This window comes from Homo sapiens, chromosome 2 (assembly GCF_000001405.40).
Source record: "Homo sapiens chromosome 2, GRCh38.p14 Primary Assembly".
In the NCBI taxonomy this organism is placed as follows: domain Eukaryota; kingdom Metazoa; phylum Chordata; class Mammalia; order Primates; family Hominidae; genus Homo; species Homo sapiens.
The window spans coordinates 69,193,421-69,215,245 of NC_000002.12; the positions used below are offsets into that span (position 1 = coordinate 69,193,421).

The 21,825-nt window shown below is 44.4% G+C and overlaps 1 protein-coding gene and 1 long non-coding RNA gene across 2 annotated transcripts in view, besides 3 other annotated features; both read left to right on the forward strand.

Moving 5' to 3' along the window:
* The window catches only part of ANTXR1 (ANTXR cell adhesion molecule 1), a 236,184-nt gene that overhangs the window by 180,277 nt on the left and 34,082 nt on the right, over positions 1 to 21,825 (forward strand). The window lies entirely within an intron of this gene.
* LOC124906019 (uncharacterized) overlaps positions 1 to 21,825 on the forward strand; it is a 31,470-nt gene continuing 9,645 nt past the window's right edge. The window contains exon 1 of the long non-coding RNA XR_007086799.1: positions 1 to 21,825. This exon is cut by the window's right edge and continues 9,144 nt beyond it. This is a non-coding gene — a long non-coding RNA (uncharacterized LOC124906019).
* Positions 3,193 to 4,392: an enhancer, noted in NCBI's record as "CDK7 strongly-dependent group 2 enhancer chr2:69423745-69424944 (GRCh37/hg19 assembly coordinates)". NCBI's record gives its function as "activates an origin of replication core promoter dependent on BRD2, BRD4, P300/CBP, MED14 and CDK7 cofactors, with strong dependence on CDK7, by STARR-seq in HCT116 cells {active_cell/tissue: HCT116}" and the evidence as "EXISTENCE:reporter gene assay evidence [ECO:0000049][PMID:35650434]".
* Positions 15,715 to 16,219: an enhancer, noted in NCBI's record as "OCT4-NANOG hESC enhancer chr2:69436267-69436771 (GRCh37/hg19 assembly coordinates)". NCBI's record gives its function as "activates a minimal SCP1, AML or CMV promoter by ChIP-STARR-seq in naive H9 embryonic stem cells {active_cell/tissue: H9 hESC(naive)}" and the evidence as "EXISTENCE:reporter gene assay evidence [ECO:0000049][PMID:30033119]".
* Positions 16,220 to 16,723: an enhancer, noted in NCBI's record as "OCT4-NANOG hESC enhancer chr2:69436772-69437275 (GRCh37/hg19 assembly coordinates)". NCBI's record gives its function as "activates a minimal SCP1, AML or CMV promoter by ChIP-STARR-seq in naive H9 embryonic stem cells {active_cell/tissue: H9 hESC(naive)}" and the evidence as "EXISTENCE:reporter gene assay evidence [ECO:0000049][PMID:30033119]".

The following is a 21,825-nucleotide window of genomic DNA, read 5'->3' on the forward strand; positions in this document are numbered from 1 at the left end:
ACTCGTTAATTCATTAATGGTGTCTCTCTCTCTCTCTCTCACATACACACACACACACACACACACACACATATTCTTTTTCTCTCTCCATCTTTGTAGAGCTAAAATAACTTTGGATTCTAAAACAGAGCTAGAATAACTCCAGATTTACAAATCCAGCTATTATTTCATGTTGCAACAAATCAGACATTGATTTTCAAAATGTTGGTTATTACAAGATCTTGAGTTTTGATTTGCTTTTCTGAAAAGGATTTTGACAGTAATATGTTGGGTTTAACTTCCTAGAATTTGAGCTTCTCAATGTATAGGCACAGTGAGAGAATAAAGCAGGACTGGCCCCTACTTGGGGCAGTTTCAGGAGGGAGCTCTGCTGGCCACTGGCCACACAAGCCAGTGGTGCATCACAGAGTACCAGCACTGCAAGGATGGGGTGAGGGCAAGGAAGGGGCCACAGAAAACACCTACCATCTTCCCAGCAGGTGTGGGGCCCAGCTAGCCCAGGACCAGAGGGATCTTTCACCCCAGGTGAGGATTTGTCTTGGCATTGTCAAGGCTAAGCTTGGAATATCTCTAGTCAAGAGCAGTCCTGAAAGATAGAGCCAGGGGAGACCTTAGAAACCATCCAGCCCATGGCTTCATTTTGTAAATGAAGAAAGAAAAACAAACAAAAACAAAAATCACCTAATTGCATTCTCCAAAAAACAAGAGAAGTTGAATAGCTTGTTCTGTTTCAAATAGTAACAAGTAACTTACACTGGAAACAACCTCAGTTCTGCCGAAACAACACTATCACTATTTCTTCATGTAAGAGCTAGTCTCTCTTCCTCAAGTTTTACAGATCAAAACTCAGGACCAAGTTTTCCCTCAACTACCAGCAACCTGCATCTTCCATCCATTTCTTTGGGAATCAGGCACATTAATCCAAAAACAAAATAAAAGTATCTCATTTAGAACTCCTTTCAAATCAAGCAGACTTGGGTTTGAACCGCCTTTCCTTCCTGGCTGGAAAGCTCCAGGCAAATCACCTGACCTCTCTGAACTTCATCCTTATAAAGTAGATGGCACGGACTTCTTCCTACTGTGGCTGGTTGGAGAAGTAATGTTTGTAAAGCATTTGGCCCACTGTTGAACACACGGAAATGCTCAATCAGGATGGGCACCGTGGCTCATACCTGTAATCCCAGCACTTTGGGAGGCAAAGGCAGGTAGATCACTTGAGGTCAGGAGTTCAAGACCAGCCTGGCCAATATGGTTAAACCCCATCTCTACTAAAAATACAAAAATTAGCTAGGTATGGTGGCACATGCCTGTAATCCCAGCTACTCAGGAGACTGAAGCAGGAGAATTGCTTGAACCCAGGAGGTGGAGGTTGCAGTGAGCCGAGATCGCACCACTGCTCCAGCCTGGGCGACAGAATGAGACTCTGTCTCAAAAAATAAAAATTTTTTGTTAAGAAAGAAATGCTCGGGCCGGGCGTGGTGTCTCACACTGGTAATCCCAGCACTTTGGGAGGCCAAGGCGGGTGGATCACAAGGGCAAGAGATCGAGACCATCCTGGCCAACATAGTGAAATCCTGTCTCTACTAAAAATACAAAAATTAGCTGGGTGTGGTGGTGGGCACCTGTAATCCCAGCTACTTGGGAGGTTGAGGCAGGAGAATCACTTGAACCCAGGAGGCGGAGGTTGCAGTGAGTGGAAATTGCACCACTGCACTCCAGCCTGGCAACAGAGCAAGACTCTGTCTCAAAAAAAAAGAAAAAAGAAAAAGAAAAAAAAAAATGCTCAATCAATGACAGATATCCTTATGGTCATTTACTCTGTGCTGTTCTGCTGTCTGGGGATGGTTGATACAGAACTTCAAGCCATATTGCAGTTGGTGTGTATGGTCTCCTGACTGTCCAGCATGACACAGCTAACACTAGAGAACACTAGAGCAGAGCCCAATAGACAGGCCCTGCTACCCCCTCCCCTTGCACCTGGTGACAGTGGGTGGTTTGTAGCTGAGAAGATTTGGTCTAAAGTTTCATAGTTTATGTGAGCCACTGCCCAATTAGCTGTTCTTGCTGTGACTAGGATGGCAGGCAAGTAAAAACGTGAAACCAGCTCATATAAATGCTGGGTTGACTTGGCCCTCATCACATATGGAATTTGAGCTTTTGTCTGTGACAGTCAACAAGACCAAATTTCTATATGAAATTTTAAATACAAACTCTACAGTTAGGAGAAACAAGCATAGGCCATAGTTAGTACTCTGGGAGGTGTTTGGTCTTATAAAGTATACATTTGCTTTCTATGGGAAATGAAGAAATTTTTTTAGCATGCATGAGACTCCTCTGACAGATTGAGAAAAAAATAATAATAAGATCCCTAAACTAAGGTTCAGTAGTACTATTTTTTTGTGACAAGATGCTGATACAGTGTATGACCCCATTTTTTTTTCACAGCAATTGAAAAACATCTCCACTAAAATATGTTAACATTCCATTTTCCACTGACCAGTTTGGCAGAAACCAATTCATAAACTGGGTCAACCTAAGAAGTGGGAGGGTTATAGGAAAGAGGCTGGATAGAAAGAAATATTATCATTAATAAGACAGAAGAATCAATGCTGTTTGGGAGCAAAATGCTGGTTATATAAATCCAAGAACAATGGAATGAAAATAAATGGAACTTCCTCTAATGAATCACACTTAAATTGAATCTCTTATTTACCAATTCTGAATGAAAGTTTGTATTAACAGCTGAAGATGTTCCATCTGTTTTTGAGAGACATAATACCACCTTGAACTTTTATTCTCCAGCCATGCAAAATAATAGATTTGAGATATAAGAAGCTTAAGAATTTGGATACATTTGAACACACTCTCAACACTGTTACAAATTATGATTATCCAGTTTACTTTTAAGTGCCCTTTCTTTATGGAAGTCTTGCTAAAATAAGATACATGAGAGAAATCGATACAGAAAATTGTGTCCTTGTTGCCGTGGCAACAGCCACACGATGTACACATGGAGTTACACAAGAAAGGTCACAGATGAGGTAAGAACCAGAATTCATAGCTGCCTATGGCTACTCAGGAAAGAATTCCAGGCGAGGCAGGGGGGGCAATATTGTAGCTCTGTCTATATGCTTCTTCTGTTTTGTTTTGCATAACCTTAGGAGACTCACTAGAGAGGCCTGCCTTGCTTGCATGGTGGTGAGTCTGTAAGAATTCTTCAGCACTGATTTATGGAGCTGACCACATTTTCCATAAACTCAAAATGACTCCATCCAGGCATGTGCTCATGAACAAGAGTCACAGGTTCTGAATTTTTTCTTTAAAACAAAACAAAAACAAAAATCACCTAATTGCATTCTCGGTTACATTCTAAGTTGCTTCAGACACATGTTGACCTCACAGAAACCTGGCAAATTTTCCTCCTTAGTTCCTGTCTCCTTCATCCTCCCCCCAGCTACTCCACCCCAGCCCTCCAGATGCAGACACAAGCCCACCAACAGAGCCTCTGAGGCTGCTGAAAGGCCTCCAGCTCAGCACAGAGCAGGGGCTCAGGGAGCCAGAGCCTAGAGCCACCGCCCTTCCCTGGGATTGGCACCCACCTCCTCAGAACCATCCAAGCCCCAGGTCAGGGGTGGCAGCAGGGAACACGAGTGTTTTCCATCTGCCATCACCCGTCTCCCTCTTTTTGCCTGCGGTGGGCTCATGGTCCCATTGTTCCTTGGAGCCCACCAGGAAATGCTTGGGCCAACTTAAAAGGGAAAGTGCCAAAGGAAACCACCTAAATAGCAAACCAGTAGCACATCTGATTCTAAGATTGTTAAAATTTACTAAGCACATGGTGTCCCCTGCTCCCAGTAGGTAGCCACCACAGTGCTCCTTGTAAAACCAAACCTCAACACACCATGCCTCCACTTCAGACTTGCAAAAACTGTGGGAAAACCCAGAATCCTTAGCTTGATTTAGAAAGGCAAGCCTTTCCATTTCATACGCTACTTACCCCAGATTCCTTCATCACCTCCAAATGGGCTCTGAGCACGTGGAATTAATTGCTGGTCATGCCCTGAACATGCCAGGACATTTTGTGTCTCTGTACCTTTGCTAGGTTTCTCTGCTTGGAATGCCTTTCCCATCCTCTCTACCGAGTGAACCTAGCTTGGTAATATTGTTCATTGTTCCCACAGTTTCCTGTAAATACAAAAAGTTGCTGGCCAGACTCATGCTTGAAAGGGGGCATTGCCCAAGCAGAACACATTTGACAGAGCCTAGGTGAGAAGGTTTGGAAGTTAGAACCTCTGTCCCAGGATGGTCCAGGATGGTCCCCAAGGCTTCCTGCACAGCTTGGCCACTCTTTGAGTTCAGAAAATTTGCTCATCTTTCAAGGGCAAATGGTTGAAGGAATTTAGAATGTTCTGAGAAAGAACGCTTCAAGGGGTCATGAGAGCTTTTTAACTTACTTGGTCCATGATGATATGGCGTGTCATTCCACTTTGCAAGCTGTTTCTTATCACGTCACCATTGTCAAGGAATAATCTTTCCATGTCACTACATATCCTTGAATAATATCATTTTAATGACCATGTCATATTACATTGCATATCTTCCCTTTTTGGAGATTGATTTTCAAGTATCTATTATTATAAATGAAGCTGCAGTCAGTATCCTTATTGCCAAATCATTGTGCACATTCACAAATGTTTCCTTAGAATAAAAGGTCCAGCTTTCTACTGGATCAAATAGTGTGCAAATTTTTAAAGCTTTGATACAAATGGCCAAATAATTGCCCTTCAAAAGATTATACAAATTAACCCTCACATTAGCCCCCTATGAAACGCCCATCTCCCCAGATGCTCCTCAATATTATTAACGTACCTATTTGATTGATAGGTGCTAATTTGTATTTTTTATTATTACTGAGGTAGAACGATTTTTTTAATGTTTATTTTCTCGTTTGTCAATTGGTTTGACTTGGCTCATTTTTCCACTGGATATTTTAGTGTTGGTTTCCTGTGATCATTTTCTTAACCCATCTTCATTCATATATTAATCAAATGTTTTGAAAGCCTACTATGTATCAGATCCTGTGCTTGCATTAAGTATGTGGTACTTAATCCTTATGACATTTAAAGTCTAACCATGTAATATATGTCCAAAGTTTTTTCTAGTTTGCCATTTACCTTTTAACTTTTTAGAAATATATTCAAGTTTTCTACAATTTTACAGTCAAATCTATAAATATTTATGATTCCTGCCTTTTGTTTCAAATTTAGAGAAGCCTCCCCTACTTCAAGAGAACATACATTTTCACAAAAATTTTCTTCCACACTTCCACCCCCTCGGTCTGTTTTTGATGGTAATGCGAATTGTCACCTTTTCTGCATCTTCCTGAGTATTTTAGTGTAGATTTGGGAAAGGCTCCTTTGGAAGCTATGGGCCATATGTTATATTAAATGAGAAGTCCTAGAAAATTATCTTGAATGCCTTGAAGTGGATGTATTAATAGAAAGTGACTTGGATTTACTCTGGGCCATCCCATTGAACAGAGCTAGCCCCATAGGTAGAAACAATGGGGAAACAAATTTCATCAGAAAGAATTGAAGGATGCAAGTTTCAACAACACAACGGGCTGCCCCAGAGACTAATGCTCCAGGTAACTAATGTTACCAAACACGGATAAGACAAATTAACCACTAGGCCAGGACACAGGGGATTCCTGTAGCAGATCAATGGTTCTCAAACTTGAGCATCAGAATCACCTAGAAGGTTTGTTAAAGCACAGCTTGCTGAACCCATGCTCGGAGTTTCTGATTCAGAAGTTCTGGGGTGGAGCCTGGGAATTAGCATTTCTAACAAACTCCCATGTGATGCTGATGCTGCTGGTCTGGGGATTACACTTTGAAAACCAGTAAGATAAGGAACCAAACAAACTTCAGAGTACCTCTCACCCTGAGAGTCTGGGGTCCTAGGCAATATTTCTATACTGCTTTGGCCACCAAGCCGCCCCTTTTCTATATTTCTCCATAGAGCACCTATTGACACAACTGGAGAATAACTAGTCTACCTTAAATCTAAATATTAAGCCTCAGTGAGTTGTGAAGAAATCTCCCATCTTCACATATTCTGTTCCTAGATTACTAATTTCAAACACAGAAACATAAGGGAATTCAGAGATCAGAGCGTGGACTCCAGTGGTTTTCAATGTGTTTGCACATTGTTATCACCTAGAGAGCTTTCAAGGTCCCCCCCTAAAGGTTCTGTTTAATTGTTCTGTGATGAGGTCTGGGCACTTATAGGATCACCTGGGAATCACAAAGCCTCCCCAGGTGATTCTAATGGGCATCTAAGGTTGAGAAGCAGTGAGGTGGTCCAATTCCCTCTTTTTCACTCAGGGCAGCATCTTCTCTTTCCTTTTTGAAACAATTTAAAGGCAACTCCCCATGTTCCTTCAGAAACCCCAAGAGTAAGATAGGCTGATCACACTCTTCATGGGCTTTTAACAGTCCCTTTCCTATCAGGAAGATGGTTAATCTAGACTGAGGCTGCCATGTCATTGCTACTGCTTGAGTAAAGAAGATGGAAAAGAGAAAATAGAACTCAGCCTCATATGTCTTTTCTGGATGGAATTCAATCATCTACCAACCAGCCTGAGCCCTCCCCAGTCACTTTTACTCCAAATCGAACTCCATCCCACTTCACGTGCTCCCAGAGAACCCACTGGGTTTGGATGTCATCTGTTTTCAGATCTGGCATCAGGAGGCCGGTACATTCCATTACTATCTGCAAGAACAAAATACTAAAGCTCACTCAGGGCTTGTTTTGCAAGCCTGGATCTCCTTGCAACCAGAAGAGACCCAGGGAAACACACACGTAAATGTACATAAACAATGTTTGAAACTCATCTGAAGCCTCAGAGGTTGTGAAATCCTCCCCAGCTGTTTCCAATAAGGGCGTGAGGCCAGTCACATGGGCACCATGTCTCCCTACTGTCGCAGAGGCGAGAATAGCCTGGGCAGGTTATCCTCCAGGAGAGAGGTTATCCTCTGCCCAGTCCTTCTAAAGCAGATAAGCCTCCTGTAGCAGGCCTCAGAGAAAGTGTCTGCACTCTTGCATTCTCTCTCCTCTCTTCTCTCTCCTTCACATTTCCTGCATTCCCTCTTTCTTCTAACCCCTTTCCTTTTTTTCTTTTCCCTGTTCACTGCCAATTTCTAAGGCCTGCCATGGCTGCTTTCCCTCAACAAAAACCAATTGCACTCCCACTAAGAATCCATTTCTGGGCTGAGCACTAGGGATATCCATTAGCAGAGGACTAAACTCTGGCTTCCAGGAGTTCATGTATGTATGTATGTATGTATGGTGTGCAAGAGAAGAGAGTGTCATGCACTGTATGAACTGCAAATGTTTACAGAAGCATAAACCCATTCACAGTAACTTGGGGTAATGATGATCTCCATTTTAAAGAACAGAAATTGAGGCTCAGGGAAAATTACTAACTTTTCCAAGGACACACAGCTGGTAAGGAGGTCTGGGGCTTGAATTTAGGACTTTCAGACTTGAAAGTCAACACTAGGGATTCCTGAACTCCTTCATGCATTCAACCCATAGTTGTTAGATGTCTTCTAAGAGCCAATGAGCACTGTATTAGTGCTTGATATTCAAGATTAATGAATGAGCCCTGTCCCTGCCCTCGAGGAACAGGGACAAACAGGAAGCTCCCAAACACTGCCTGGTGTGAAAGGCTCTGTGATGGAGCTGAGCACATGAGGTGTGGGAGCTATACCCAGGAAAGGCATCTCACCAGCCTTGGAGTCCAAATGCCTTCTTGAATGGACATTTAAGCTAAGACAAGAAGGGGGAATGGAGTTGGGGAGGTAGAATATTCTAGTGACAGGGAAGCTTGCATACAGATCTGCAGGTGAGACTGTGGCTCCTTCAGGGAGACACAAGGAGCAGGGTACAGAGGAGGACAGAGTGGGAGGCACTGAGAGGAGGGACTGTGGTGAAGAGGAACCTGAGTTGCCGGCCGTGGGAGCCTGCTCTGCCAGCCTGACGAGGCTGTACTCCACCCTGAGGACAGTAGAGACTTACTGCAAGAGTTTTAAGCAGAGGCGCAATCGGATGTGCATTTTAGAAAGGTCGCACTGGCTGCAGTGTGGACATAGCGGCAGTGAGAGAGGCTGGCACCCTGAAGTGCAGAGTGGTGGGCAAGGAAGACAGCTTGGATTCACAAGATATTGAGCAAATAATCACAGATTTGGTAACTGCCTGGGTGTAGAGGATGAGAGGGTAGAAAGTGTGAAGGAGGACCTCCAGGATTTGGCCCAAGCGACATTGCTGACTGTGCTGCCTGCCATTCACCAGGATGAGGACAGCTTTGCGAGGGAAGATGAGGACGTCACTTTTTAACTTGTGGAGTTCACAGTGCCTGTGGGACATCCAAACAAAAAGGACCTGCAGCAGGTCAGGACCAGGGGGAAGCATGAAGGCATCTAGGGCAGGAACTCTCTGGGTTGCTCACTGTCAGGGTTGTGTGAAAGTAGGGACCTGCGAGTACATGCCTCCTTAAATTTTGTGCCCTAGACACCTCGCATGCCTCACCCTAGTCAGGGGGCAGTTTTGCTCCAGTGAGAGTTTTGGGCTGCAGGCAAAGATCTGAGAGTCATTGGCCATGGCAGTTGAGACCAATGTGACTAGAGGGGAAACCAGGGAGAGGGGTAGAGAGAAGAAGTTAAGCACTGAACCCTGAGGGTCACATCCTTTAAGTCAGGGTGGAGAAAAGAAATAGAGCAAGAAGACGACTAAGAAGGACCAGCCAAGAGAAAGAGAAGTTGTAAGAGGAAAGTCTGGGGTCATGGAAGCCAAGGGAAAATAATACATTATGGAGGAGGGTGGAGTGTCAAGTGATGGGAAATTAAGATGCAAACTGAGAGCAATCATCTAATAAGATTAGCAGTAAGGAGGTTATGGTGCCCTTAGTGACCCGAGCTCTGTGGGATGATGGGGTTGGGAGCAAAGCTTAACAAACAATGGGAGGGAGAGCCAAGGCAGTAGCTGGAGGAGATCTAGAATTGGAAAGAGTTCTTTGTCTTAGTAAGACTTGAGCGTGATTAAGTGCGTGTGGCAGAGATCCAGTAGAGGAAGGGGTTGAAGACAAGAACTCACTGTTAGACTGCAGGAACTCTTAGGAGAAGGGGTTGGAGGGCTTAGGAGGAAGTGCCAGTCCTCCTTAGTGACATGGGTTGTAGATCCCAGGTATGAGTGAGAGGGCAGGAAGTGAGGACATCCCTGTGGGAAGTGATGGGCTCTGTTCTCCCTGTGATGTGGCTGGAGGAGTGGAGGAGCTGGAACTGGAGCTCCTGGAAACAGCCACACCTTGGGAACCCCATTGCTCCTATGCTGGCAGCACTTCTCCACATTCCAGAGTGAATGTCTCAGGATTAAATAAAATGGTAGGTATAAATAATTTGAAAAGATGGGAGCTTATTTTCTTCCCTTCCTTCTCCCTGAAAACTGCCATTGATTTCAGAGAATTTTAATTACCTCTTAACCTGTAGGAAAAACTTTTTCTCAGAATTATTTTATGTTCAAACCAGCAATGACCAAAAGAACCAAGTTATCTACATATTGAAGTCTTACATGAAAGTCGTTTTTCTTGCACAATAAACAATTAAGTTTACATTAGCTCTTTATGTTGTGTAAATGGACATCTTCAGAATTCCTATCTGACACCAGGTATAAGGTCCCAACAGATCTGGAGGGAAAGTCTCCTGACCTTTTATAAATTTTTGTAAGAAACGGATCATTTTAAGAAAAAGGAAGAAAAAAGAGCAAATTATAGGAAATGTTCCTAGAGGGTGTGATTTATTCTGGCACAGCCATCTTCCCTGGATGTTTGAATTCTCTGTAGTATTCATTCAGTTCTCACCCTTGGAAGCCTCTCCTTTGCTGTCTCATTGGAGGGGGACATGAGTACTTAGAATTTTTGGCTGAGTTAGCTGAATTTAAGGAATAAAAAGTTCAAAACACTCTCTGTCCACAGCAAAAACCAACTGTACCCAAAACCTGCAAAGTTAACTTTTTTCAGAGATGTTAAACCCAAAGTTGATGCTGCAAAATATACCATCTTGGGATTTTTTTTGCACCAACTTCTTTCTCCCATGGTAGGAACTGTCTCTGAGTAAATACGTATGAAAGCAATTGCTATGGTTGAGCAATCTTCCTCTCCCTCTCTCTTTCCCCCTCCCTCTCCCTCTCTTCCAATCCTCACAATCTGATCCCCCTTTTTCCACAAGCATTACACACTCACATTCACACACATTCCTCCTCCTCCTTATTATCACCATCATCATCATCATCATCATCATTTTGTAGCTTCTTTCAATTTCAACTTGTAGGACTTTCAACTTCAGATTGTCTCATCTCCCAAACAGCTGCAACAACAGAAGGTCGAGTCCTGGAATCAGGTTGCAAATAGCAAACAGAGAAGTAAATGCTAAGGCTGAACCAGACAGGGATGGGAATAAAGCAACCCTGTTCAAATTCTCCGACCTCATTTTTTCCCTTCCAAACAAAATCAGGATTGAGGGAGGTAGGGATTAGCTCTAGGGTCAGAATTTTACCCAAGTGTGTAATATTTTAGGAGGTTTGCTACTTTGTCTAAGCATGATGATCATGTCTAGCCACTTGGCTTCTGCGGGCCTGCTCCTCCAGCTGATGGCACCAAAAAAGATCATCTCGAGGGACATTCAGCATCTCCGTGATGGGCCTCAATTAAGAATCATCAGAATCCATGCTGGTGGGAAGTTCTGTTCTGGCCAGAAAGTATTGGGTTAGATTATAGATGGCAAAATCTGACCTAGGAAATAGGCTTTTGAACAGTGTGGGGAAGAGCCAGCCTGCTATAAAACATCCACACACACCCATCTTCGTTCAGCATCTCCATGACCACCCCAACTCAACCTGACCCTCAGTCTCGGAGTTGGACTGGCAGTTCCTCATAATCCCAGACCCTTCATTTTAGAGGCACCAAAGCTGAGGTCTGGAAAGGTGGTCTGGAGAGATTCCCGAGCCCTCCCAGGTCCATTATCTTATCTGTTCCCCATCACCTTCTTACTTTATCCTCTTTTTAATATAGGAAAGATGAGGCTCAGATAAGATCTCTGCTCTTTTCAAGGTCACAAAGAGTGTTGGTGGAAATGGCAAGACTGGAAACCCACCAGCTCGACACTGCCTGGCTCTCCTTGAGTCCTCACCCCAGGCCATGAGAGGAGGATAAGCATCCAGACTCAGCCTTATCTCTTGAGGAGAAGGCAGAGTTAGTCCTTGCCGCCCAATCCCTTCCCTTCCTGTCCTCCTACCTCTTCCCACCTCCCAGTACCTTTCCATTTTTATATCCTGCCCAAGATGACATACCCATTGATATCCTCCCACATGGGGCTGCTCTCCTGCACAGGATGCTGTGCTCCCAGATCACCTCATGCTCTCCCTGATTCCACCTCTCGCTGCCTCCCACTTTACCACCAACACTGTGTCTAGGACAGAAATTCCATTCATCCAGTTAATACATCCTGAGCTCCCACTCTCCAGCAGGCACCAAGCTAGGCAGTGGGGATTTAGCATGAACAAGGCGAGATCCCTGCCCTTGTGGAGTGTACACTGGAGTGGTCAGAAAAGATCACTAAATTACAGCTCCACATGGTAGATAGTATGAGGGGGAGTTTGGAGTTCTCTGGGAGCATAGAGCCAGAAGATTTAACCCAGGCTAGGGCATCAGGGCATACTTCCAAAGAGAAGAGACCATTTGGCTGAGATCCGAAGGACAAACTCTCCCAGTGCAGGGAGAGAAGGGCCGCCTTCTAGTTGGAGGAACAGCATGTGTAAAAGGCCAGAAGGGAGAAGAACTGAGAGAGGACACACAGGCCTGCAACCAGGGAGGGTAGGGAGTGCAGCAGCCCCCACCTGCAAGCTCCACCTTCTCCAGTCTTTGTCCACCCAAATCCTTCAGGCACTCAGTACTCAGCCAAAGCCCAAGACCTTCTCCCAGTCAAGGCTCATTGTCTGGCCCTTCCTTCCTCCTCCGCTTACAGCCACAAAGTTTAGCACCAAGTTAATTTTAACCAATACTGACTTTTCACTCCCTGAATAAGTTGTAAGCAATTTGAGGGAATGAACCATGGCTTTTTTTTTTTTTTTTAACTTTCCCTCACAGCACTGAGGACCTAGCTCAATTTGTTTCCTTGTCCCAGGGAGTATGGTTTTTTTCTGCAACCTCCAGGCCACAGCTGTTTGCAAACTTCATAGGAAACTGCATTTGAGTCACAGGCAAGGGGACATCTGAATGAATCCTCCGTCTCTTAATAAGGAGAGAGAATTCACAAGGTCTTCTAGGGACATGTCCAGATAAAATGAGGCTGATTAAAACTTTAAAACACTAAACTTTTATTATAATTGCTATTCATACTTTGTCATTGCCATTTATTAATAACTTTTCTTTAAGTTTGTTTGAAAATAGAAAATTCATTTTTAAAAAACTCTCCAAGGCTTTACCAGTCTCACTTTACAAATTCGTTCCTATAACATTTGTTTAATATTAGTGTTTTTCCATTTTTTTTCTTTTTGGCTGATACCATTGAGAGCAGTGTCACGTTGAGAATCCACAGTGATGACAGAGCTAGTTGTGAGGGTGCTCATTCCATTCCTCTAGCATTCAGCACCTCTGTCCATTTCTGTGTTTGCCCCCAGCGTCTGAATTTGGTTGCTTCACTGAATGGTGTGGCCCCACCAGCTGACACCCAGGCATTGACTGGCCTCAATTACTGCAACACCTATGTTTCAAGGACTCTGTGGCCCTGACTTAAGTACAAGCTTTAAATGGGAATAAATCTTTTATAAGCCTTTCCATTTACTTTCCTGCTTATTAAAGGTGAATTGTAATGGAAAACCCTAAATGTCACAGAGTCTGGAAAATTGAAATAATAAGGGGCAGCATTCTCCTTAGTGGTATAACTAGTAAAAGTGGGCCTAATGGAAAGTCCACCGTGGAATCATCTGTGTTTCTATGCAACAAAATTATTTTCCTTCTTTCTCTAACAAGGGAAGTAGTTCTGACCAACAAGGTTGGCTGTCTTAGGCATGGTGGTGGAGAGCAATGGAAAGATGAGTGTGTAGTGGGAGCAAGCTTAGCAGAGTTCCTGAAGCCATTGCTTTAGTGTCCCACCACATCTGTAGGCCTAGGGGATGCCATGCAGTCCTCCAGAGATAGCCAAGGAAGCTGCAGAGCTGAGGCCACCCTCTGTGCTTGTAAACAATAAGCACACCCCCCAAAATCAGGAATAAGCCCATGAGAACTGCCCATATCCCATGGTCCCACAGCACCTCATCAGCTGCACTAGTGTGTTCTGCAGTAGATCCACTGCTGGTGGGCCTCAAGTTGCAAATATATTTAGTAATGGATCAAAATAGAATCTCTTAGCAAAAACTGGACCTTACAAGCAATTTGCATCAAGTCAGAAACCCATACATCTGTGTCCCACAGCAGGCCACCCTTAAGCAACATGAAGGCTTCCAAAAAGGTTACCCTGCCCATATGAAAATGCCAATTTTATCCAGCAACATTGCTGTGTTTTCAAATTTCTGTAGACGCCAATGCTGTAATGAATGTTCTGACCCTCAGGGTGTCATCCACAGCCAGGCTTTGTGCCTGTCTTTTGCAAAACTTACCCAATTTCTGTCCAAAAAAAAAGTCCAAGACTAGGTCGATAGTAGATTTATGTGTCAAAGGAGAACACATAGACTTTGGATAACTTTACTCCAAAAGAATTCTCTTGCTCTCTCAAGCCTATTCTGTTAATAACATGTTTAGTTCTATTCCTAAGTTTGATTTTTTTATGGCAACAGTTTGACTATTGAAATTCTTTAGCTTTGTAAAACCATGGCACAAACTGTTCCCCCATGAAAAAACGCAGCTTTCCATAAGGCTTCCCCAGAAATACCAACATTAGAATGGGGGATGTGATTTGACTTTTTGTGAGTAATCTTCCTAGCACTGCCCGAAGAGAGAGAAAAAGAGAGAGATGCAGTTTCACGTACAGTTTTACATGTAGTAAAGCATCTGTGGAGATCAGAGGATAAAAATATTTCCATGACAGGAACTTAAAATTTTAAGAGAATTTTCTTTTAAGCTCTTCACTGGCCAGTGGAAGAGTTGACCATGGCTTTTTCCTTCATGTGTAGAAAAACACTAGGCAACTTGGTAGTGAAGCAGGATTTTTCTCGGCCAATTTGCCAACTGGGACCTCCGCTGGCAACACCCCCCACACCCCACCCTGTGTTATAGCTTGTACCCACATTCAGCGGTTCCCAAGCTCTTGTCCCACATCCAAGAAGAATAAAGATATGCTGACAATTTGAAGGTGGAGAAGAATTTTATTGAGCGACGGAACAGATCTTAGTGGAGACATAGTCAGGTGGTTTCTCTCTCCCCCAGTGTGGCTGAGTCTGGGGCTTTTTATGAACTCAGAATGGGAAGTGCATGCTGATTGGTTTGTGAGTATGCAAAAATGGTTAAAGCAAAGACATTCAAAGGTAGGCACAACAGTGTAGAAAACCAATTAGGAAAGGGTAGGTATATGTAAAATAGATAAAGGGTGGGATCCATCAGAGGAAATTGTGTCAAAAAGGAAGAGGGGTTCTCAATCCGGTCTGTGGATTTGACTTGTAGCTTGGCTTTCAGGCTTTAAATTCTTTTCAACTTGGAGGTGGGGTTTTGCTGGGGACCCACCCCTGTTTGCCTAGGCATTTGTCTGCCCCCTGCTGCTGTCAGTGGGATTACAAACTGACTCACATTTTTAAAAATTGTGGCCTCCCTTCTTACCCCCACAAGTAGCAAAAGATGTTTTTAGATCCTGAACATCTCAAAAGTAAAATCTAGAGCTGACTATCCAAAAAGGCAGCCACTAGTCACATGTGGCTATTGAGCACCTGAATGTGGCTAGTGAGAAATGACATGTGCTATAAATGCAAAATATACTCTGGATTTTCAGGGAAGTAATATGAAAAAAAGAATAGGAAATATTTCTTTAGTGATTTTTATATTAAGCTGAAATAACATTCTACATATATTGGGTTAAATAAGATATATTAGTAAAGTTAATTTCACCTGTCTCTTTTTATGTTTTATAAATGTGGTTACTAGAAAACTTAAAAGGCCCATGTGGTTTATGTTATGTGTCTGTTGGACACGCTGGTCCAGAGGACTGGTCTGGAAGACACTTGTGAGAAGGGGGAATGACATGATTTCCATACAGGCCCTGAGTTCTTCAACTATTTTGGTTTTTATTCACAGTAAGAATTTCAGAAATTATGGATCTCTGCCCTTTCTGGTTTTCTATTAGGTCAGCTGTGACTTTGCCTTTCTGGGCCAATTCCTATCCCAAACTTCTTATTTTTAGGCAGAAGTCCTGCATGCTCTAAGCCAGCATGTTAGGTGTTTGGGGTGTTTTCTTTTGAGATGGCATCCCATTCTCTTAACCCAGGCTGGAGTGCAGTGTCACTATCACAGCTCACTGCAGCCCCGACCTCTCAGGCTCCAGTGATCCTCCTGCCTCAGCCTCCCAAGTAGCTGAGATTACAGGTGCCTGCTACCACGTTGTTTTATTAAAGCAAACAAGCATTCAAGGTCTCTCTACTGCTTCTTCCCTGCAACATCATCACAGAGAAGAACTTGCATCCTTTAAAACCTTGTTCTAAGTATCTGTACATTTATTGGATTATCTGATCTACTTTATCTTTGAAAAATTCCTGAGAAGCAAATATTATCCTCACTTTACAAAAAGGAACCTGAGTTGACTAGAGCAATAATGATGGTTCATGTTTGACGAGAGCCATATAATTTACAATTATTTTCTAATATATTTATTCTGACCCTGTGACACAGTTGTTCCCATTCCTGTTTTACATACTGGGAAATTATCTTTACAGAGGGCTCGAGTGCCTGTGCCCCACAGCTGATAAACAGAGGAACTAGCATTTATTCTTTCAACACATGTTTATTTGTTGTGCTAAACACTAGTAAACAAGGATATGGTCCTTTCATGGAGTTTGTATCCTAGGATTCACAGCACCCAAGTGTTAAGTGCTCTACTAAGAATCAAAACAGTGTGATGAGTGGAAAGACAATAGATATCTAGGCTGCATGGTGGGAAAAGCCCTCTCTAAAGAGGCGACATTGAAGATGAGATCTGAATAACAAGAGGGAGCTGCTACGTTAAGATCAGGGGACAGCAGCAGGCACAAGGCCTGCAAGGCTGGAAAGAGCTTGGCATGTTGGAGGAACTCAGAGGCCAGCGGTGATGGGTGGGCAGTAAGGTCAGAGACAGCAGGGGAGATGGCCATGCAGGCAGGCTTGTAACCTGAGGAAAGACATTTGGATTTTACTCTGGATGTAACATGGAGGGGAGGGCTTAGCAGGGGGGAGACAAGTGCCCTAGCATCCTCCACACTTGAATACTGCCTGCCTCTAATTAACATTCTACAAAGATGACCAGGGATGAAGTGGGAAGAATCAGTTATACAGAGACCAGAGTGAAGCCGGGAGATCAGTGACAAGGTTGGAGTCCCGGATGAGAGGCGATGGTGGTAGATGAGTGTGGACCCAGTAGAAATGGTGAGAAGTGGATGGAGTCTGAAGTTTTTTGGAGATAAAGCCAATGAGACTGGCTGATGGATGGCTTATCCCTCTTTACACCTGACTGTCCCTCCAGCTCTCTTCACTCCTGCAGTGTCCATCCAAAAACACTCTGCCCAGGGAAATCTAATTTCTGTTCACCCCGTAATAATGCCCAGAAGACAAAATGAAACACTGACAGATTGTCATTATTTATCACCCCTTTGTTTTGCTTTGTTAATTCATTGTCCTGCCTAGCTGTTAGCGTCTTAATTGTTCATGTTGACCTTTAGAAACACATTCAAGGTGAATAAGGAGGCCTTGCTATATTCCAAAATCGTGTCAGTGGGAATAACCAAAATGATTTTATTCTTTCACTCTCCTTTTGGCTGGCAGGAAGATGAGCTGTTCACATATTCATATGACACACTACCATTTGAAAACCAAAAAACCAGAAGCATGCAATGTCATATATGCAGTCATCGGCAAATGTACAAAGCACCCTGCAGCACAGCATAGTTACACACTCCTTAGTAGGGAATGGGGGAGGAAAATTGTACGTAAGAACCAGATGTTGGCTGGGTATGCTGGCTCAGGCCTGTAATCCCAGCACTTTCAGAGGCCGACAGGGGTGGATCACTTGAGGTCAGGAGTTTGAGACCAGCCTGGCCAACATGGCGAAACCCCGTCTCTAACAAAAATACAAAAATTAGCCAGGTATGGTGGCACAGGCCTATAGTCCCAGCTACTTGGCAGGCTGTGGCACAAGAATCACTTGAACATGGGAGGTGGAGGTTGCAGTGAGCTGAGATCGTGCCACTGCACTCCAGCCTGGGCGACAGAGTGAGACTCCATCACAAAAAAAAAAAAAAAAAAAAAGAACCAGATGGTTGTCACAAAGTGATAATTTGTTTGCCACTGGCAGTAAGATAAAGAAGAGAGAGATCTTGGGTGGAAGTGACAAGCCAGAGGCAAGGGCTGGTCCGAAAAGGCTACAGAGAGGAGGTGTTACCTAAGATTTTCCTTAGAGGATACCCTCGGGCTCTGGTTAAACAAGGAGAAACAGGGAGGGTATGAGATCAAAACAGGTTGCCAGTCAGCAAAAGTTTACACATGCATGCATATGTATATGCAACTTCTTCTCCAGCCAGTGAAAACATTTTCTTGGCATATAGGCTGAACTTCATTAATTCCCAAGGGCAATACATGCTGTCAGTGCTAAGGAATGCAAACCCACCCTTCTTCACTTACCAGCACAACTACTCTCTTCCCCAGAACACAGAGCGGGATCAACTGTGCCAGCAGGTGTTGGGCACATCTGTGTAGACTCCACATGCATCTCTCTCTGACATAAGGGAATTTTTACTCCTACACACCAAAGAACTACACTCCCTTAAACACCTTCACTGGTTCCCACTGCCTGCCCACACAAGGTGTGTTTTGTGGAATAATTATTCTGCAGCTGTTCATAGGTGTCAAATACATTTGGAAATTGTTGCACTTAGTGTTAAAGAGGGCTTTTTCTCTGCAGGACTTCAAAGATGCTTTAATAAGCCAACATGCATTGGGAATCTCCAAAGGGGGAACATACGCAGCATTTCCCAAACTTGTAAATTACTGATCTGTTTTCATAGAGCATCACTTGGGACTAACAGTCTGTGAAAGGCACTTTGGGAAATGCGGGACTGACTAAGAAGGGCTTCCCCTAGTGCCCTCCACAGTCAGACGCTGCCTGCTTCTCAGGAGTCCTGCACAAGGCAGACTGCCCCCAAGACGCTATTTCAGCCTACTCACCATATGTATTCCCACCTGTGGACCTCTGCTCACACCACCCCCGGCCCAAATTATGCTGTTCCTTCTCTTCTCATTGTAAGTCAACCCACTCCTCTCGTTGTAAGTCAACCCAAGTCCTTTCTTCTCTGGAAAGCTTTGCTCATCCCTACCAGGACTGGAGATGCCTTGTGCCTCAGACCATCTTAATATTGCTTTATGTCACACTCATTTAGCTTTTGATAGCTGGCTTCTACCTCTATCTCTAATACCTTGCATATGGTAGAATTAGTAAATTCTTTATTAAAGAAGAAGAAAAACAGGAAGGAGATAAAAGAGGAGAATCACAAAGAAAGAAGTAGGGGAGGGGAGGAGGAGGATGGGAGGAGTAGAGAAAGAGAGGAGAAAACCAGGGAGGTGACAGTGGGAAAGAGAATTTCACAGGACCTTGGACGTGGTACTTTGATTGAGTGTAGGTAAGAGGCAAAGCCCAGGGAGCGCAGCCTTGAGTACTTAGTGGAAAAGAAGATCCATGAGGTTCTGCGTATATGACCATCCAAGGCAGCTCCCAGGAGGTGTTCCTGGCACCATGCCACACTTAGCTGCAGGGCAGTGCCCATTCATAAGGTGTCAGCTCTAACCAGTGAGTGCAATACCTAAGAGCAGGCGCAGACTGTGACCCCTTAACCTAACCTATGCTTTATGATAAAATAGATACATATTTATATTTGTACTATTCAGAAAACAGCATATGTATCCATTTCTTGGGGGTTTTCTTGTAAACAACATAATACAATATCCAGTTAGTACTGAGGTGTTTTTGAGACAAGGTCTTGCTCCATCACTCAGGCTGGAGTGCAGTAGAGTGATCACAGCTCACTCTAGCCTTGACCTCTGGGACTCAAGTGATCCTCCTACCTCTGCCTCCCAAGTAGCTGGGATCACAGGTGCATGCCACCAAGCCTAGCTAACTTTTTTTAACATGGGGTCTCACTATATTGCCCAGGCCAGAGTGCAGTGGTGAACATAGCTCACTGCAGCCTCAAATTCCTGAGCTCAAGTGACCCTCTCACCTCAGCCTCCTAAGTAGCTAAGACTACATGTGCACATCACCTTTTTTTTTTTTTTTTTTTTTTTTTGGTAGAGAGAGGGTCTCACTATGGTGTCCAGTCTGGTCTCAAACTCCTGGCCTCAAGCAACCCTCCTGCCTCAGCTTCTCAGAATGCTGGTATGACAGACATGAGCCACCACCACACCTGGCTATTACTGTTAAACAAAATTAATAACATACAAAGTGCAAATTATATAACCCTAAAGCAATCACTGTCAAGAGACCTACCACTAAAGCCAGTGCCTTCGTTTCACAGAGGAGGGGCCTAAAAGCCACAGAGCAGATTGAGCTGTGACTAGAACCTCAAATCTATGGCCTAGTGCACTCACTACATGGACCATCTGAAGCGCTGCTTCTCATGGCTGGGCAGCCTATAATCTCTTTGTCAGCCAGATGGCCAGTTGCCTGAGATGGGAGACACAAGAAACATTCCCACATCTGCTTCCTGCTTTTAACTCACATAAAAATGGCCAGTCGGTTTAACAAAGCTATTTTCCTAAAGGGACCAGAGCTTCTATTTTTTCTGTACATTTAAAACGTGCCAAACAAAATGACACATGTTGTCAACAAGATGCAACAGATATCTTCCCACAAAGCCTCTTCTTTGTAAGCTGTCATGCCAGTTCTGTTGATGTAGTTACCTTCCGCAAAGACCAGCGGTCTTGCCAGAGCTCCACCCTGGAAAAGCTCATCCTGTGGAAGCACAGCTTGGTGGGGTCGCCAGACTCCTGTCTCTAACACACTGTTAAATGCCTAGATGTATTTCTTTCATGCTTGTGCAGAAATTCCATTTCAGAGTGTCGGGGCAACACCTAAGTCAGTCTCCCACATGTGGGTCATGGAAAGAGCCAGGGCCTGGACGCCAGGAGGCCTGGGTTCCAGTCAACATTCCCTGTGACTTTTACAAGTCGCAAGTGGATGACCATGCCCCCATTGCCAGCAGCCTTGGGACGTATGTGGGGGCACTAAGCATAATGGGCCAGTGTGGGGCATGGGAGGGGGTCAGCCCAGCTGCTGTGGTCCCTCTGCCAGCCCCCAGGGCAACCCACAGCCAGGCAGTCTCAGCCAGGGCAGGACAGGGGCCAGGGCCAGAGCAGCGCCTCCACACTGAGTCACAGCCAGCCCTGTAGGAGAAAAACAGCTGAATGTGGGTGAGAACCTGAACATCCATAACAGCCTGGTCCAGGAGAGCATTTCTGGGTCCTGTGAAGAGGAAGAAGAGAAAATGATGTTGGAATCCCCAGGTTAAGGAAAACCAAGCCATTCCCTGGCCTGCAAGCTGTATCACTTCCTCTGTAACTGTTTCTCTCCTTCTGAGCACTGGTACCTGGTTTGTGGGACAAGAAGACAAGTGACATGATCAAAACAAAGCTTTGGTTTGTATTTCCTTCTACTCCTTGTAAATTTTATTCATTGAGAGAGATTTTTCTCCTGCCACCACATACAGCCATGGCAGGCCCTGTAACTGTTCAGTGTATTCTTAGGCTATAAGCAGGTCCACCCTCAAAAACAAACTCCAAATTCAGTCATAGAAAGTACAATCCGAGAGATTAATCAAAACCTCCAACTTGAGCCAGGGTAAACCTTCCTTCCTCCCCCAGCTAGGCTAAACTCCAACCCCACCCTGTGAAAAGGCAGGATGAGGTTGTCTCTCCCCTGTTTCTCCATTTTGCTCTTCTCCTCCTAGTCCCCACCCAAGTCTGTTAGCCAATTTCTTACCCCTCCTTGGTAGGGGCAGGTGAGCAGAGGTAGGAGAAAAAGTAGACCTTCCTTGAACTAGTCCCATTATAAGCTGGTCTGTGCTCTGTGGGCCCAGCCTGTGTTTAACACTGACTCTCTTTTTTCCCCTGGGGTGCTCCTTGGAGCTCTTTTGGGATCTTCCTTCCAGTAGTTTCCTTGACACAGGCAGATGTTTCTTTATTCCCAGTGTTTGCTTGTGGTGCTTTCATAGCCTCTGGGTCTAGCAGTCACCTCCAGCTTGTTACTGCCGAAGTCCCTCTGTCCTATTACATAGCCTCTTGGACAGCATCCAAGATGACTCTGCTCTGCACTTCCTCTGCACGACCCACATCTGGTCCACAAGAAAGACTTACAGGACGCATGGATGGGCGAACCCAATTGCAGCCCCTCCATCCTGCTGCACAGGCTGCCTCCACTTTCTCAGACATGAGAACTCTGTATTCGCCATCTTCAGGGAACCCATTCCAAGCTCTCCAAGTAGCCCCATGGGGACAGCCTCACTGCACTGGAGGGGAAGCCCAGGGAAGCCCTGATGAAATCTCTACTG